This window comes from Homo sapiens, chromosome 11 (genome assembly GCF_000001405.40).
Source record: "Homo sapiens chromosome 11, GRCh38.p14 Primary Assembly".
NCBI classification, from domain to species: Eukaryota; Metazoa; Chordata; class Mammalia; order Primates; family Hominidae; genus Homo; species Homo sapiens.
Genome location: NC_000011.10, coordinates 46,648,061 through 46,667,025, shown reverse-complemented (window position 1 = coordinate 46,667,025; position 18,965 = coordinate 46,648,061). Strand labels below are relative to the sequence as shown.

The window sequence follows — 18,965 nt, the reverse complement described above, 5'->3', positions numbered from 1 at the left end:
TAAAATGCCTTTAATCATCTAACAGAGGGAGAAAAGGGAGAGGATGGAAGTTTGAGAAGCCAGGAATGACATAAATTATTTTTCCTGATGGATGGCACACACACACACAAAAACCTTCCTAAATGACTCCTTCCCACTTTACCGTGGGAATGAAAAAAAAAAATCAGGAATTTCTATCAGGAGAAAGTTCATTTAGAATGTGAGGGGGCAAAGTAATCTCAGTATCTCTGGGGCCTTCAAAATCAAGGGAGGGTAGGGCAGGTCAAAACAGCCCATGGCTCCCCAGGGAGAGTGAAAGCATCGTGGAAAGAAGGGGTGGGGCTCTGGAGTCAGAGAATCTGCTCGCCCTTGTGCCCTGTGAGCTAACTGAGCTCAGGCCAATCACTTAACCGTTCTGAAAGTTTCTTTCAGTCTTTAAATAAGCAGGTAACAGTGGTGACTTCTGCAGGGTGGAAATATGAGAACGTTCACTTCCTATCTAATGTCTTTAGGATTTGAGTTTTACAGAATGTATCACTTCGGTAATCAGAAAAGACAAAGATTTACATTTTTTTAAATGAGGAAAACAGTTGTTCCAAAGGCTCTCCATGAGGCTCTGACACAGCAGAAAAAGGAGATCAATCCCAACTATAACACAGACATACTGTGGCCCAGACTTCAGGGCCATGGTCAACACCCTGTTCTGGTCCTTGGGAAACACTAAGGACTGACTCCAAGGATATAAATCTTGGGGTAAGAGAAAAACATCTGACAACCCCTTTACTGGATAAGGGTGACAAGAACCGAGCTCCTGCTGTTTCCCGTTGGTACTGAAGTTCCACGCCAGCTTCCTGACATCCCAGCAGATATATCAGATTCTTACCAGGGAACTTCAAGGAGTCTACACTTTTTCTCTTTCATTTAAAAAAAATATTTTTGAGGCTGTGCGTGGTGGCTCACGCCTGTAATCCCCGCACTTTGGGAAGTCAAGGCGGGAGGATCACTGGAAGCCAGGAGTTCGAGACCAGCCTAGGTAATATGACGAGACCCCCCATCTCTACTAAAAATACAAAAATTAGCCAGGTGTGGTGGCACGCGCCCGTAATCCCAACTACTCAGGAAGCTGAGGCACAAAAATCACTTGAACTCAGGAGGTGGAGGTTGCAATAAGCCATGATTGTACCACTGCACTTCAGCCTAGGCAACAGAGTGAGACTCTGTCTCCAAAAAAAAAAAAAAAAAAAAAAAAGGAAAAATAAATTTTTTTGAGAGACAGAGTCTCACTATATTGGCCAGGTTAATCTCAAAATCCTGGCCTCAGGCAATCCTCCCACCTTGGCCTCCCAAAGTGCTGGGATTATAGGTGTGAGCCACCACTCCCAGCTAGGAGTCCATGCTTTGGGCTCAAATGCCATGTCCCAGCCAATGCTGAAAGTTACTCTTTACTAATTCTAAATAAGCACGTGTGTCAGGGAGCCCAGGCCCCTGGCCAGCCTTACCAGAGACAGAGCCAAAATGTGAACTCACCTACTGGAGGGTGTGGCAGCACAGTGGGTTCTGTCAGAAGGGGTGCAGGTTGCCAGTCTCTCCTGGTCAGCCTGGGTACCATGGACAGGCTGGTTGGGAGCAAGGGGTACCCCACCTTCCTTCCCAGGAACCATCAGCTTTGGGGAAAAATGGAAAGAGACAGTGAATCATGGCATGCCAGGCAGGAGGGGAACTTCACATTCTAGCATGATGGTATCTGCTTTTGACTTTTCCATCACCAACGCTGCCACCAAGTAGGCAGCAATCCCTGGATCTTTATCCTCTCTGAAACTCAGTTAATGGAAGAAATGCACGGTAATGACTAATGACTACAGAGGAAAAAGGAAATGGAGAAAAATCCTGGAAAAGTCTTCTTTCCTTTCTGAAGTCTAAGAGGCTCCTTCCTCTCGAGTCACTTTTGGTCTCTGAAGTCACGAAAGAGTTTTGCTTCAGAATATAGCACTTAGAACATATCCCTCTGCCTTGAGAGACCCCTCAATTGCCTCCGGGCAGGGGAGGCAGCACTGGAAACCCATAGTCCTCCCCATCTTTAAAGATACCTGGTGAGGGTGTGTAGCATTTAAGCCAGCAGCAAACACTACTGGATAAGCCAGGTCAGCTGATCCAACGCCCAGGGCAGCAGGCTGATAGGAAAGGCGAGAGCTTGAGAGCTAAGCAAGAGAAAAACAAAGAGGAGAAAAGGAAAGGCAAGGAAAAAATAGGCAATCCCAGAGCGTGACAAACAAGATGGCTCAGTAGAGAGATAAGGAATGGCTCCCGCCCACATGCCCACAGTGCAGGGGGCCTGACGTGATAGGGGTTAGGGACAGATGAGGCCGTTATTAGAGAAGAAAACACAGACTTGTTTGTACTGGGATTGGGATTCCAAGCTGTGGAGCTTCCCAAAGGCCTCAAATAAGTTCCTTGCTCCCCGTTTTCCCAGGGGCTGAGCTAACTGTTTCAGTGCTAAGCCCAGCAGATGTGTGGAGCACAAGCCTGCGCAGAACTGGTAGCCGAAGTCACCAGGTTCTCCAAAGTCATTCTATTCTCTCCTTTGTCCTGAGGCCCCTTTGACATAGAAAGTCCTCTTCTCTAATCACACCCTCCATCACCCCTGGGTATGGGAATGTTGCTATTTATATTGAAAAAAGACAGAATACCAGTTGTGAGTTGTTTATTTAAAAATCTGATATAAATAACTCCATGTATTTTTCACATCAATGGTAGGAGGAGGGGCAGATGAAAATTCCCTATTTTAGGCTGTTGGGCCGTGGCTGTGTCCTATTAAAATCTATTACCAAGCCTCAAAATAATCCCACAGAACACTTGGGACATTTAAATAACTGTACCTTATAATTTATTTACAATTTTTAAATAAAAGGATGCCATCTGATTATATCCCCTTCTTCCCATTATGGACTCACTTGATGGGAAAAGGCCAGTCCTGCCATGGGGACCCTCAGGGTGTCCGTCACCACAGGAGTAGGGGTCTGAAAATGTGCCTTTGTGACAGTAAACACACACTGTGCACAGACACACACAGAGACAGGAGAAACAAAAAAAAAAAAAAAAAAGAAAAGGGACTTGAGAAAGAAGTGAAGAAACTCTGGAAGGGGCAGTAGCAAGAGAGGCCAGAACTGACACTGGAGTCAGGAGTGAAGCAGGGCAAGGGCGTGGGGCTGTCTTTCCAAAGGGACAACTTGGAAGATTCCTAGAGTGATGTTTATTTCAGGGCATTCCATGTATGCCTGTGTCCCTGATAAGCAGTTAGAAAACAAAGCTGAGGTGAGCTGGCTACAACTTGGCAAAACAGAGAAACTTGAGTCAACCATTAGTCTGTCTCTACTCAAAAAAGACAGGAAGTCAGACAGCAGCTTCCAACAGAAAGGTCTGACTGCAGATGCAAGGTGTGCTGAAGATGAGTAAGGATGCGGGGCTTGTAATGTTCAACTGAAAGCCTTTTTCAGGAAACCCAGAATCTGCAGGACAGTTTCAAACAGCTGAAGGGGTGGCTGGAACTTGAAGAAGCTCAGATGCATGCTTCCTACGTCATTCCAGGGAAGACAAGTGGGTGTGCAGGGGTGTGTGTATGCGTTCTTACAGTCCCTGATGGCATAGGTGAACCTGATGAAGTAAAAAGCTGGGGGCATGTTGAAAACTCTTATGATTTCAAAGCTACTTAAGGGCATAATGATTATGGTCATGATGATTATTTTGGGTCTTACTGTTCCATTTTTTTTTTTTTTTTTTTTTTGAGATGGAGTCTCACTCTGTCGCCCAGGCTGGAGTGCAGTGGTGCGATCTTGGCTCACTGCAATGTCCACCTCCCAGGTTCACGCCATTCTCCTGCCTCAGCCTCCTAAGTGGCTGAGACTACAGGTGCCCGCCACCAAGCCTGGCTAATTTTTTTGTATTTTTAGTAGAGACGGGGTTTCACCGTGTTAGCCAGGATGGTCTCGATCTCCTGACCTCGTGATCCGCCCACCTCGGCCTCCCAAAGTGCTGGGATTACAGGTGTGAGCCACCGCGCCTGGACTGTTCCAGTTTTAAACCTGACCGATTAGCTAATTAATGCTTAGAACTAGAGGCAGGACCTTAGGCCACACAGTAGGTTCATTTCTAGACTCAACTCTGTGCCCAAATGGCACAACGATCCTTATACTGTTGGCAAAACCAACAACATCACATTAACATGTATTTACTGGACTCCAGCAAAAGCTCCAATAGAAGTTGCTGAATTGAGTAATTATGCAAGTCACTAAGAAAAATACTACATTATTAACAGGAATAATATTAACAGGAATGAGGAGAAATGATAGCAAATGACTGTCTCTCTACTGCCAAGAGAAATTAGGTTCAAAATTGAGTATTTTTGTACCAAATTGTACCAGCCTTGATCAGAGGTCCCCAGGGAGTAATGATGACAGGGCTCACTTATGGAGTGCAGACTGTTGATAAGAATTTGGTGTGATCTAGTTTTAAATTGCAATAAGACACAATAAGAGACAGTTACCATTAAAAAGATAGCCTCTAGTCACACAGGCATACAAACTTTGATGCAAACACCAGGTGCAGAAACTACTAAACTTCCATTTACTTTTAGGTTCAACTTTCCATTGTATCAGGGAAACAGACAAACTGATTTGGTTAAGGCCTAGTCTCACCATCCCTCATATCTCGCAAGTTACAACTTTATTATTTATGAATCTATTACTTGTAAAACAGAACTGCTTACTGAAATTTAAATTTGACATATCTTTTAGAACAGCTGGGATGAGCTTATAAAAATAAAAAGAAAAATATTAGACATATCTACAAGTTAATTACCTAAAAACAACAACAACAACAAAAAACCCTGCTTCTATTAATGTGCACTAGGAAGAAAGTAGGTCTTTGTCTGCTTTTTTTGTCAATGCTACTCTGTGTCAGTAAGCATACAAGAAGCTCCCCTGACCAGATCACTGCTGACATTCATGCCTACATATGTTCATGAGAGCAGGGGAATGACAATTCTCAAACCCCCAAACTAAACTGTTCTGGCAACTTTAGAACAAGAATCTCTTTCACCCAAAACAAACTAGGACAATAGAAACAATAGTGATCCATGGATTCTACAACATCAATCACAGACATTAACTCCTGCTTTTGAAACAGATTACAACTGTGAGTTTATTATTTTATTTTTTTTTGAGACAGGATCTCGCTCTGTCACCCAGGCTGGAGGGCAGTGGTGCGATCTCAGCTCACTACAGCTTCAACCTCCCAGGCTCAGGCGATCCTCCCAGATCAGCCTTCCAAGCAGCTGCAACTACAGGTTTGTACCAACACACCCGCTAATTTTTTTATTTTTGGTAGAGACAGGGTTTCACCATGTTGCCCAGGCTGGTCTTGAACTCTTGGGCTCAGGCGATCCTCCCTCCTTCCTTGGCCTCCCTAAGGGCTGGGACTACAGGCATGAGCTACTGAGCCTTGCAGAACTATGACTTTTTTTTTTTTTTTTTTGAGACGGAGTCTCACTCTGTTGCCCGGGCTAGAGTGCAGTGGGGAAATCTTGGCTCACTGCAACCTCTGCCTCCGGGGTTCAAGCAATTCTCCTGCCTCGGCCTCCTGAGTAGCTGGGATTATAGGCGCCCACCGCTAGGCCCAGCTAATTTTTTGTATTTTCAGTAAAGAGGGGGGTTTCACCATGTTGGCCAGGCTGGTCTCAAACTCCTGACCTCATGATTTGCCTGCCCTGGCCTCCCAAAGTGCTGGGATTACAGGCGTGAGCCACTGCGCCCGGCAGAACTATGACTTTAATCCAATATCTCCTCCAACAACCAAAGATGGAAAAAATTTTTTAATTTTTGGAATTACAAAAACAGTACTTGGGAGACTGAGGTGGGAGGATGGTTTGAGCCTGGGAGGCGGAGGCTGCAGTGAGCCAAGATTGCGCTACTGCACTCCAGCCTTGGCGACAGAGACAGACCCTGTCTCAAAACAAAACAAAACAAAACAAAAAACACAGAAGGGCTGGGTGTGGGGGCTCAAGCCTGTAATCCCAACACTTTGGGAGGCCAAGGCAGACAGATCACTTGAGTCCAGAAGTTCAAGACCAGCCTGGGCAACATGGCAAAACCCCATCTCTACAGAAAATTAAAAAAATTAGCTGGGCATGGTGGCATATGCCTATAGTCCCAGATACTCCGGAGGTTTAGGTGGGAGGATCACCTGACCCTGGGAGGTCTAGGCTGCAGTGACCCATGACTGCACCACTGCACTCCAGCCTGAGTAACAGAGTGAGACCCTGTTTCAAATTAAAAAAAAAAAAAAGGCCGGGCGCAGTGGCTCACACCTGTAATCCCAGCACTTTGGGAGGCCGAGGCGGGCGGATCATGAGGTCAGGAGATCGAGACCATCCTGGCTAACATGGTGAAACCCCATCTTTACTAAAAATACAAAAAATTAGCCAGGCGTGGTGGCGGGCACCTATAGTCCCAGCTACTCGGGAGGCTAGGCAGGAGAATGGCGTGAACCCGGGAGGCAGAGGTTGCAGTGAGCTGAAATCATGCCACTGCATTCCAGCCTGGGTGACAGAGCAAGACTCCGTCTCAAAAAAAAAAGGGAAAAAGAAAAATTGAAAAAAAAAAAAAACCAACAACAACAGTAAATAAAAACACATGGACAGCTAATGAATTTGTCTGGTCCTCCAAATAAGAAGTTGAAACAGGAGAATCTGGGCTGATTTAAAGGCAAGTAGAACTGAGGTAGATCTAGAAGAAACCATCTAATGTGAAAGTCAAAGAGGAAAGCAATACTTAATGCAGGCAGAAGAGGAATCTGGAGGCAAGGAAGCTGAGGATGAGTGACTTGTGGTGGAAGGCAAGAAATGTGCCCCAGCAATTCAGCCAGCTGCAAAAATGACTGTTTAGCCAAAGCAGCCTTGGCGCCACACACATTACACAACAAGACCACAGGGGTGCTTTCTCTGGGGAAGCTGACAACAGTGTTTGGAGCCTGTGTTTTATGAAACTGGGTTTGCCACTGAAGACTGAAGTGGAAAAGTTAATGGTTAAAAATGTCTGGATAAGGAATACACACAAGCAGAAATCTGTGTCAACTATAAAGAAAAGCTGTACTACTGGTTTCTCCCTGTCATTTTATGCTAAATAATTTTTGGCTCTTTGGGGCCTCTTCCATTATTAGAAATGAAATTTACCACTCAATAGAGAAGTAGCTATGAAGTTAACAAGTGTAAGTTAGACAAAATCTCTGGTGTCAGAATGCATTTGGAATTCTGTGACTGATGTTCTAGGGAATTTTAAGATGTCACCAGGAAGGTAAGGGCTAAATGTAATCTTGAAGGTTATGAATAATTACAGACTAGAAATACTATCTTCTGGACAAGAAGGCTCTCTCTTACCCCTCAAAGTAACCCCTTTGAAACAATCACCACCACTATTAAAAGGGATTGTAGCTAAATTTGGACACCATTTCATAAAGCCCATATATATACCAAATAACTACCACCACCCCAGAACCTGCTTCCCCCTACCTGGGATGGTGGGGAGGTGGAAAAAGAGGTGGTACACACTTCTTGAGAGTCTTCTACAGACGGGTATATTACTCCAGTGTCCTCACCAGCAGTTCTAAAGTGAAAAGAAAGAAATAATGAATTTTATGGTGGTGGCAGTCAATTTCAGAAAGGCTATAAAAGGTGATTAGATAGAGATGGGACCTGTGCTAAGAACGGTTTCACACAGTTCGTACTGGCAAGAAAGGCATGTGGAGTCCTCAATAATTTCAAACATTCCAGAGAGTGGCACTCAGAGGTTTGACAATGTTTTGTTCTTGTTTCTCATTTTTAAGACAAGGTGTCACTCTGTCACCCAGGCTAGAGTGCTGTGGCATGTCTCACTGCAGCCTTCCCAGGCTCAAGCAATCCTCCTGCTTCAGCCTCGAGTAGCTGGGACTACAGGAATGTACCACCATGCTCAGCTAACTTAATTTTTTGTAGAGACAGGGGTCTCCCTCTGTTGCCCAGGCTGGTCTTGAATTCCTAAGCTCAAGCAATCCTCCAGCCTCAGCCTCCCAAAGTGCTAGGATTACAGGTGTGAGCCACTGCATCCAGCCTGTTTTTTAAACCCAAACATCTTACCTGACCTATTATTTGAGAGAGCATTTTCTTTTCTTTTCTTTTTTTCTAAATTGGTAGACTCACTCACACCTGTAATTCCAGCATTTTGGGAGGCCGAAGCAGGCGGATCATCTGAGGTCAGGAGCTTGAGACCAGCCTGACCAACATGGAGAAACCCCGTCTCTACTAAAAATACAAAAATTAACCGGGCGTGGTGGCGCATGCCTGTAACCCCAGCTACTCGGGAGGCTCAGGCAGGAGAACTGTTTGAACCCAAGAGGTGAAGGCTGCGGTGAGCCAAGATCATGCCACTGCACTCCAGCCTGGACAACAAGAGTGAAAATCCGTCTCAAAAAAAAAAAAAAAAATTGGTAGAAACAGTGTTTCACCACATTGCCTGGGCTGATCTCCAACTCCTGGGCTTGAGCAATCCACAGATCTCAGCTTCCCAAAGTGCCGGGATTATAGGTGTTAGCCACCATGCCTGGTCTGAGAGAGCATTTTCTTAAGCCAGGCCAGTAATGGAGCCACATCTGGGTTTTCAAAGAATTATCAGTAGTAGAGACTCCACGAAACAAGTATCTAAACCCTAAAGCCAAGCCTATTCAATTTCACAAGTCTATCACATAAAGGTACTATCCTTCCTGATATACATCTAGTCTAACCCCTGTTTTCTGAGTTCTAGACCTGGAGACATTTTATTCTGATATGAAACTAATGTGCCAGATGGTAACCTGAAAACCAATTAATTTGTCAAGGATATTCCACAAATCACTGCCACTCTTCTAAGGCTCTAAGTAACTTGTAACTGAGAAAAGTCTTTTTTTTTTTTTTTGAGAAGGAGTCTCACTCTGTAGCCCAGGCTGGAATGCAGTGGTGCAATCTCAGCTCACTGCAACCTCTGCCTCCCAGGTTCAAGCAATTCTCCTGCCTCAGCCTCCTGAGTAGCTGGGATTATAGGCATGTGCTGGCATGCCCAGCTAATTTTTGTATTTTTAGTAGAGATGGGGTTTCACCAAGAAAAGTCTTATCACTAACATCAAGATCCAAAATATCCCAAGAATTTTCTGAGACAGTCTGTATATACTAAGTCTTGGTGTACCTAAGAGGGAGCAGAAAGAAGGGAAACTGGCCCATTTGATTTCTCTCCACGTGGGGTCTCCATCAGTGGCCCCCTGCCCACTGGAGAGTGAGTGCTGAGAAAAGTGTTCCATGTGCTTGTGCAGGATGGATGCTTCTGCCCAGCTGCAGTTTGGGAGAGCACCTTTTCACATTCCTCACCTGTAATTGCAGGGGTGCATGGGAGAGGAGCTGGGATAGGGACGGTCCACAAAGTGATCAATAATAATCCCCATGATAGGTGGGGTCCTCTCAAATTGCCTGTAATACAATAAGCAGATTCCAGTATTTGTTAGAATGCCTTTCCAGCCCCCACAAAGTCCTCAGAGGGCCCCTCACCTTACATCTGTTGGCAGGCACTACCAGAGCTTTAACTATCACAATCCCTAAATATAAACCACCAATCCTACGTTCTGGACAAACTGGCTCTGGGACACTCAAATTCTCCAATCTGGCAACTGCACTCTCTCTTTATTCTTCTGAAGGTACTGCTTTCAGCAAAGCTGAATTGTAGGTTTAGTCTTAAAGTTTAGGAGAAAAAAAACTTTAACATTTTCGGAAGAGTTCTTTTGGATTCCAGGGCTCTTCCTCACCTGGTAGACATGAATGCCAAGTTAATTCTGTAAGCACAAGAAAGAGTGATGGTGCCCACAGGGGTGCCCACTGTCCCAACACGAACTGTCTGGAAGCCTAGGAGAAGAGATACATTATTAGCTTCTTTTGCAGAGAATACTGACACTGCCCCCAGACCGTCTTTCCCTGAATTATTTGGCCTATTGTGTAATCTCTGGCATTATCCACTTAGCATGTTAAGTGCAGCAGCCTTAATTTCATATGTGTGTGTGTGTGTGTGTGTATGTGCGTGTATGTGTGTGTATATATAGGTTTCTTCCCTCTCAATGTATTCTATATTGAGCCAATATTGGCAAGGGAAACAGCACTCTATTTATAGATAAAGCTACCTTCAAAGAGATAAAATAACTGTTAGTTTTAAGGCCTGAGAAAGTTCTACTAACCAGCCCTGCAAAGGATACATCACATGCTAAAAAAGACAATGAAGGAGCACTAGAATGTCACACAAACACTTCAGTTTAAGAAGTAATTGCCTTCCACCCAAGCTGCCACTCCACGGCTAAGTAAAGAGCCAAGGCCTTGCAAGTGACACTTTCAACAAAGCTTTCCTGATTTTCTTGGTTTCATTTCCAATTTTTCAAAATTCTTGTTGTTCATCAGAAACATTTAACATCCTCACTGTAGAAAATTAGGAAAATATACAGTTTTATAAAGAGTAAGAAAGAAGACTGAGTTCCTGGAACTTTGGGAAAAATTATTTGGTTACCCTGGCAGATCAGGGGTAACCTGGACCACCTACCTGCATTCTCATCTTTTCTTTACTTGTATTATGCATATTAAGATGACAATCTACATATTATAACAAGTAGAAACGAAGATCATCTCTGAAGTTAGGAGAGCTCTGAACACTACGATGTTTTTCAACCGTTGATACATACCTTCTCCTAAGCCACTCAGCTGAACTTCTCCAAAATATATCCTGTATGGAAGAAAAAATAAGAAATGTTACCTGATTCTTTACTCCTAAGGGCCTCTATAGCCAAAACACGTAGAAACAAAATAAAACAAAGCCTTCCTTACTCATCTGCTCAAATACCTCTGCTGATGGAGCATTAGTAATTCCTACTACTTCAATTAAGCTACAGGCATGGAGACGTACAGAGTGGGTTGGTTAAAAAATAAGGAAAATAAGGCCAGGCACAGTGGCTCATGCCTGTGATCCCAGCACTTCGGGAGGATCACTTGAGGCCAGGAGTTCAAGACCAGTCTGGGCAACACAGCAAGACCCTGCATTGACAAAAAATAATTTTGCCGGGTGTGATGGTGCATGCCTGGAGTACCAGATAACTGGGAGGCTGAGGTGGGAGGATCACTTAAGCCCAGGAAGTTGACGCTGCAGTGAGCCAAGATTGCACCATTGCATTCCAGCCTGGGCAAAAGGATGAGACGCTGTCTCAAAAAAAGAAATGAGGAAAATAATAATTAAGTGGAAACTGCTATTTAAGTTTCTTCTCTCTGCTACTAAAATGTATTTTAAAATTATACCTACTGAGAAATAAAGAATATATAAATAAAAGTGGCCAACAGGTCTAGGATTGCTACTAGAAGGCACTGGTTTTGTTTTGTTTTGTTTTGTTTGAGACGGAGTCTTGCTCTGTCACCCAGGCTGCAGTGCAGTGGCATGATCTCGGCTCACTGCAACCTCCAGCCTCCTGGGTTCAAGCGATTCTCCTACCTCAGCCTCCCAAGTAGCTGGGATTACAGACGCATGCCACCACGCCCGGCTGTTTTTTTGTTTGTTTGTTTTGCTTTTTGAGACTGAGTCTCACTCTGTCGCCCTGGCTGGAGTGCAGTGGTGCAATCTCGGCTCACTGCAAGCTCCGCCTCCCAGGTTCATGCCATTCTCCTGCCTCAGCCTCCCGAGCAGCTGGACTACAGGTGTCCGCCACCGCGCCCGGCTAATTTTTTGTATTTTTAGTAGAGACGGGTTTTCGCCGTGTTAGCCAGGATGGTTTCGATCTCCTGATCTCGTGATCCGCCCGTCTCAGCCTCCCAAAGTGCTGGGATTACAGGCGTGAGCCACTGCGCCCGGACCTGTTTTTTGGTTTTTTTTGAGACAGTGTCTCGCTCTGTCGCTCAGGCTGGAGTGCAATGGCACCATCTTGGCTCACTGCAACCTCCACCTCCTGGACTCAAGCGATTCTTGTGCCTCAGCCTCCCAAATGGCTGGCACTACAGGTATGCGCTACCATGCCTGGCTAATTTTTGTATTTTTGGTAGAGACAGGGTTTCGCCACATTGCCCAGGCTGGTCTTGAACTCCTGAGCTCAAGTGATACACCCGCCGTAGCCTCCCAAAGTGCTGGGATTACAGGTGCAAGCCACCATGCCTGGCCTGTTTTTCGGGTTTTTTAAAAATAATTTTTGGTAGAGACAGGGTCTAACTATTGCCCAGGCTGGTTGCAAACTCCTGGCCTCAACTGTTTTTTTTGAGACAGGGTCTCAGTGTGTTGCCCATGCTGGAGTGCAGTGGTATGACCACTGCCCACTGCAGCCTCAACCTCCTGGGCTCAAGAGATCCTCTCACCTCAGTCTCCTAAGCAGCTGGGACTACAGGCACGTGCCACCACACCCAGCTAAGTTTTTTTATTTCTAGTATAGACAGGGTCTCGGTGTGTTGCCCAGGCTGGTATCGAACTCCTGAACTCAAGCGATCCTCCCACCTCATTCTCCCAAAGTGCTGGGATTACAGGTGTGAGCCACTGCCCCTGGTCCTGGCCTCAAATTATTCTCCCACTTCAGTCTCCCAAAGTGCTGGGATCACAGGCATGAGCCACCATACCTGACCAGAATGTACTAGAGTTTGATAAGTGGTCTTTAGTTGTGGGAAGCTCTCTTTTACATATATATATATATATATATATATATAAAATTTTAAAAATAGTAGTGATGAGGTCTTGCCATGTGACCCAGGCTGGTCTGAAACTCCGGGGCTCAAGCAATCCTCCCACCTCAGCCTCCCAAAGTGCTGGGATTACAGGTGTGAGCCAACTGTGCCTGGCCATGAAGAAATCTCTAAGTAGATGGCTTAACAAAGCAGGAAATCTTTTCCACCGTGGAATAATGAACTAGGTAAGACTATTCTGAAAAAAAAAAATAAAAACATAAACACAGTGGAACCTTCCTATGATTCTCCCTGGACAGGCCAGTCTATATTAGCAAAAAGTTTGAATTCAAAATACCTAAAATCTATTTTCATATTTTTCAAGTAATATTGTTAAAATTAAATATACACATGGGTTTATTCAATAAATACTAAGCTCCAACAATGTATGAAGAAGCTTCGCCAGGCGCGGTGGCTCACGCCTGTAATCCCAGCACTTTGGGAGTCTGAGGCGGGTGGATCATGAGGTCAGGAGATCGAGACCATCCTGGCTAACATGGTGAAACCCCGTCTCTACTAAAAATACAAAAAATTAGCCGGGCGTGGTGGCGGGTGCCTGTAGTCCCAGCTACTCGGGAGGCTGAGGCAGGAGAATGGCGTGAACCTGGGAGGCGGAGCTTGCAGTGAGCCGAGATTGTGCCATTGTACTCCAGCCTGGGCAACACAGCGAGACTCCGTCTCAAAAAACAAAAAAAAAAAAAAGAAGCTTCATGGTTAGATGTTAGGAATGAAATAAGGATAAATCTGAATCCTAGGTCTTACAGACTACAGTTTTGTATGAAAGAAAAGAAATGTAGCTGGACATGGTGGCTCACGCCTGTAATCCCAGCACTCTGGGAGGCCGAGGTGGGCGGATCAATTGAGGTCAGGAGTTCAAGACCAGCCTGGCCAGCATGGTGAAACCCCATCTCTAATTAAAATACAAAAATTAGCCAGGCGTGGTGGTGCATGCCTATTAATCCCAGCTACTTGGAAGGCTGAGGCACGACAATCACTTGAACCAAGGAGGTGGAGGTTGCAGTGAGCCAAAATCGTGCCACTGCACAGCCTAGGTGAGCAAGACTCCACCTCAAAAAAAAAAAAAAAAAGAAAAGAAATGAAATGTATGTAAATATCTGAAATACAAAGCACAAAAGTACTACAGATACGACAGACAAAAGATACTAAAAAAGCAGGGATCAGCAAACCTTTCTGTAAAGGACCAAATGGTAACTATTTTAAGATTGTGGGCCGTATAGGCTATAACAAATACTCAGCTTTCTGTTGTATTGCAAAAGTAGCCATAGACAATATGTAAACAAAGGGGATGGCTGTGTCCTAAAAAAACTTTTTTTATAAAAACAAGCAGATGGTCGGCTGACCATAGTTTAGTGACTCCTGCCATAAAGTAATATAGGAACAATGTTAATAAAGTGTTGGTAAAAGAGATCTTGCTAAGTAAATACCCTTTAAGGCCTTTAACAAGAAGCTGAGACTCAGGCAGTTCACTATTCATGTAAATACTGATACAGTGCTTAAAATTTGCTAAACTTTTTCTTGGCAATGTGTATTTTTTTGAGACAGAGTCTTGCTCTGTCACCCAGGCTGGAGTGCAGTGGTGTGATCATGGCTCACTGAAGCCTTGACCTTCTGGACCCAAGCAATCCTCCCTCAGCCTCCTGAGTAGCTGGGACTACAGATGTGAACCACCACACCTGGCTAATTTTTTACATTTTTAGTAGAGACAAGGTATCACTATGTTGCCCAGGCTGGTCTCGAACTCCTGACCTCAGGTGATCCTCCTGCCTCGGCCTCCCAAAGTGCTGGGATTATAGGCGTGAGTCACTACACCTGGTCAAGACTATTCTTTAATGGTATCACGCTGTTAACCTTCTAACAACAGTATAAAAAGCAGGTGGAAAAGCCAAGTCTACCTCTGAGATCACCCACATCTCTAGATCTAAGCTACAGTTATTTGTATCCAAAAGCACTCCTAAATGATCAACATCCTGTGAGCAGCACTAGTTTGTTTGGGTTTTTTTGAGATACAGTATAGCCCTGTCACCCAGGCTGGAGTGCAGTGGTGTGATCTTGGTTCCCTGCAACCTCCGCCTCCTGGGTTCAAGTGATTCTCATGCCTCAGCCTCCCGAGTAGCTGGGATTACAGGAGCGTGCCACCCTGCCCAGCTAATTTTTTGTATTTTTAGTAGAGACAGTGTTTCGCTATGTTGTCAGGCTTGTCTCGAACTCCTAACCTCAAGTGACCACCCACCTCAGCCTCTCAAAGTGCTGGGATTACAGCCGTGCGTCCGGCCCCTGTGAGCAGTAATGATTACTCCAGAGATACCTAATAAAGGAACACTTTAAACACTGGTATGAAAAGGACTAGCAGTCCTAGGTAACTAAGCCGATGATTTTAGTAGGGTATCTTTCTAATATATCTCAATAGAAGTCTAGCAATTTTCAAATAAAACAACTTGAAACCAGAAGACTACGGAGAAGACGGCAAAAATTTATTAAAGACCTAGAAAAATAGACATGGTTAGGCTTGCTAGGATATTGCTAAGAAAGTTAAAGGAAATGACAACTATTCTCAGGTACCGGATTATTTCAACAGAACTAGATAAGTCTCTCCTCCTTTGGTCCCTCTATCTTGCTATACTATTCGTCTAAAAATCAGCTCTATACATGTAAGGCAAAGGCTTAAACCAATGGCTTATCACTAAATACAAAAGAAAGGCATCTTTGGTAGATTTGGGACCCCAGCATTCCAAGCTCTTCTCTCACACTTTGCTACATACCCTCTACTCCACCACTCTGGTTCATCTGACAATCTGAGCAGAGCTCTGACCCTGCCCTCCACTTCTGTGCCTTGCTAGCTGCTGAACTCTCCATCTGGAATAATTATTCTCCCTCACTTTTACCAGCTCAAATTCTCTTTCCCTAATAGGCTAGCTTGAATGCTACTTCCTTCATAAGAACTGCACTGTTTACCAACCAGAACAAATTTTATCTTTCTATATTCTCTCAGTACCTTTTTTTCCTGATTCTGGTTTGCAGTTTTCAAATCCTGCTTTTTAAAAGTAATTATACATGTATCAAATTGTTTTCCTCACTACATTAAACCACCTCTAATGCTGGGCCTCTGTATAGTTCTTAAGTTCTCCTGGCACAATGCTTGCACTAAAAAGGTGCTCAATAAATGTGCTGAGGTGAAATGCTCCAAGGAAAATACTCTGTTGACCCATTCTTTATATCCACAGACAACTAATTAAAAACTTAAACTGAGTTAACAGTTTGTTAGACAAAGTTTTAATTTAACCCTGGAATACAGAAAACTGTGGAATCTTCCCAGTATAGACTGTTTTTCAAAGTCTTGACTTCCAGGCCGGGTGCCGTGGCTCACACCTATAATCCCAGCACTTTGGGAGGCTGAGGCAGGCAGATCACAAGGTCAGGAGCTCGAGACCAGCCTGGCCAATATGGTGAAACCCTGTCTCTACTAAAAATACAAAAATTAGCTGAGCATGGTGGCGGGTGCCTGTAGTCCCATCTACTCGGGAGGCTAAGGCAGGAGAATCACTTGAACCCGGGAGGCAGAGGCTGCAATGGGCCAAGATCGCGCCATTGCACTCTAACCTGGGCGATGGAGCGAGACTCCGTCTCTAAATAAATAAATAAATAAAACTCTTGACTTCCTTCCCTAGCTCTAAGATGTTTATCACTAGGACCTCAACATCCATTCCACAGGAATCACGATTGTGCATATAGAAAAGGATAATAAACCTGGTGGCTTTGGAAGGGTGAGGTTCATAAGGCAGGCTGGATAGTGATCACATGAAAGCGACAGCATCAATAATCCAACAAACCAACCAACTGTCCAAAACATCATCACAGAACATCTAAATGCCAGACAATGTACAAAGTGAGGGGGTTGATGAGTGAATCAAGATGACCATCTATGCTGTTTACCTGTATAATATGACATATTCATGCCCTTGTTTCCTGGAGAGCCTATAGGCTGGTGTCACCCTAGTTATAGCAAGAAGGGACTTCAGCAGCAATGACAGTCTGTTGTACACCGTGTAGGAAACTTTGATTTCTTTATCACACCTGCCAGGCACAAAGATATGGTCAGCATTCTTCTATTTAGCGCTGGAGCTACACAAGACCAAATTTATTATTAAGACATGTTCTGACTAACCAGAGAACTCTAATTACACCTTTATCAACAGATTACTGAGGTAAGCCAATGTTTTACTTTCTCATGTACTAGACACAGGCAAATGAGCACCAAAAGGCACCCAATATATTTTTTCTAGCTTCAAAGTGGTTATTTTTTTTTTAGAAATAAAGCAGCACATCTGAAAACATATAAATAAATAAATACTGCAATTATATACACTGAAGGTGCAAACATGTACTATCCTATGAGCTGTCTATCTCGATAATCTAACAGAAGTCTGCAGAAAAGTCAGCTTGGCTCTAAAATTTTGGGTCATAACCTGGCAATTGCATTTATTCAATAAAGAAAATTAATGTCCACCACATATACTTATCACTAAGATTTTTCTTTTGATGTGTTGATGTTTCCTCAATTTTCCTATATACTCTTGTTGAAAACTGAAGCTTCAGGCAAGAGATAAGCTAATCTGCCTTGAAAGAAGAAAATGGGGAAAGGAAATAACATGCATTTCCAATCCATGACCCATACAGTCTGTAAAAAGGAGCAGGGAGGGGAAATCTTATTGGATGGCTGCCACACAGAAAACAGACAAAACAGAGTAGTCATATTACAAGAGCTCGCAAGGGATTTAATCAGAGAACTAGCTGTACTCTGGGAAAACAACAAAGCCTTTTCAGCTTTTTCTGCTGCTCCTTTCCCTGTAGTATCTGAGTCTCTCTGGACTGATGTTCCCTCTGAAGGTCATCTCTGTGTCCAGGCTGGAAGCCAAGGATGAAGCAAATTGTAGCAAAGACCTATTGGCTTTGTTAAGTGGTCAGAATGCCCTCCCTGACTCTGAAAACAAAGCCCTGCTTTTCACATGATGTCATCTACTTTATCCTCAGCAACCACAACCAAGGACCCTAAGACGCAGCACTTACTTTTCATTCATTTCAAGACACCATATTTCCAGCTCCATGGAATCTCCCTGTAGAAAGGACAAATTTAAAATATTTGTTTAAAAAATTTTTAATTTCAAAGCATTACAGTCACTATAAAAATATTAAAAGGTATAGATAAGCAAAAAAAAAAGAATAGATATCAACTTATAATCGAACAAGCCTCTTCTCTAAATAAAAGGGCAATCACAGTCTATATGCTATTTTGATGACTTGTTTTTTCTTAATAAATACGTCATGGAATTTTCCTTATAATTAAAAATTCTAAATCATTTAAAATGGTTCCACAGTATCCCACCATATGACTATCATTTTATCCAACCAGTCCTCCAATTCTTGGACATAAAGGTTGTTTCTCTCTCTCTCTTTTTTTTTTTTTTTTTTTTTTAAAGACAGAGTCTCACTCTGTCGCCCAGGCTGGAGTGCAGTGGTGCAATCTGGGCTCACTGCAAGCTCCGCCTCCCGGGTTCACGCCATTCTCCTGTCTCAGCCTCCTAAATAGCTGGGACTACAGGCGCCTGCCATCACAGCCAGCTAATTTTTTGTATTTTTAGTAGAGACGGGGTTTCACATGTTAGCCAGGATGATCTGGATCTCCTGACCTGGTGATCTGCCTGCCTTGGCCTCCCAAAGTGCTGGGATTACAGGCGTAAGCCACTGCGCCCGGCCAAGGTTGTTTCTTTATTCTTTTTTGGGGGTATCTTCATCTTAGTGTGAACATAAAGGTTGTTTCTAATTTTCATTACTGCAAAAATTGTGATAAACAACCTTGAGACTAAAACTTCTCCCACAAACTCAATTAATTTCTTTGGGAAAATTTTCAGAATTACAATTGCTGGGCCAGGCATGGTGGCTCACGCCTGTAATCCCAGCACTTTGGGAGTTGTACTAAAAATACAAAAATTAGCTGGGCGTGGTAGCGGGTGCCTGTAGTCCCAGCTACTCAGGAAGCTGAGACAAGAGAATCGCTTGAACCCAGGAGGGGAAGGTTGCAGTGAGCCAAGATCGTGCCACTGCACTCCAGCCTGGGCAACAGAGCAGGAAAAAAAAGTGCTGGGGGGGGTGGGGTTAAGTAATTTGGCTAAAGTCACTCAGCTGGGATTGA

The 18,965-nt window shown here is 44.0% G+C and overlaps 1 protein-coding gene across 54 annotated transcripts in view; it reads right to left on the bottom strand.

The window, feature by feature from the left end:
* ATG13 (autophagy related 13) overlaps positions 1 to 18,965 on the bottom strand; it is a 56,966-nt gene that overhangs the window by 7,493 nt on the left and 30,508 nt on the right. For 20 of the 54 annotated variants that reach the window (NR_144422.2, NR_144424.2, NM_001346319.2 and 17 more), the window contains 8 exon segments: positions 1,507 to 1,643; positions 2,067 to 2,177; positions 7,541 to 7,634; positions 9,404 to 9,502; positions 9,835 to 9,931; positions 10,753 to 10,793; positions 16,709 to 16,849; positions 17,843 to 17,889. Coding sequence is in view for 51 of the 54 variants with exons in the window: in NM_001346319.2 (NP_001333248.1) it covers positions 1,507 to 1,643; positions 2,067 to 2,177; positions 7,541 to 7,634; positions 9,404 to 9,502; positions 9,835 to 9,931; positions 10,753 to 10,793; positions 16,709 to 16,849; positions 17,843 to 17,889 (767 nt within the window). In the remaining 3 variants the exon portion in view is untranslated. 54 annotated transcript variants of the gene reach the window in all.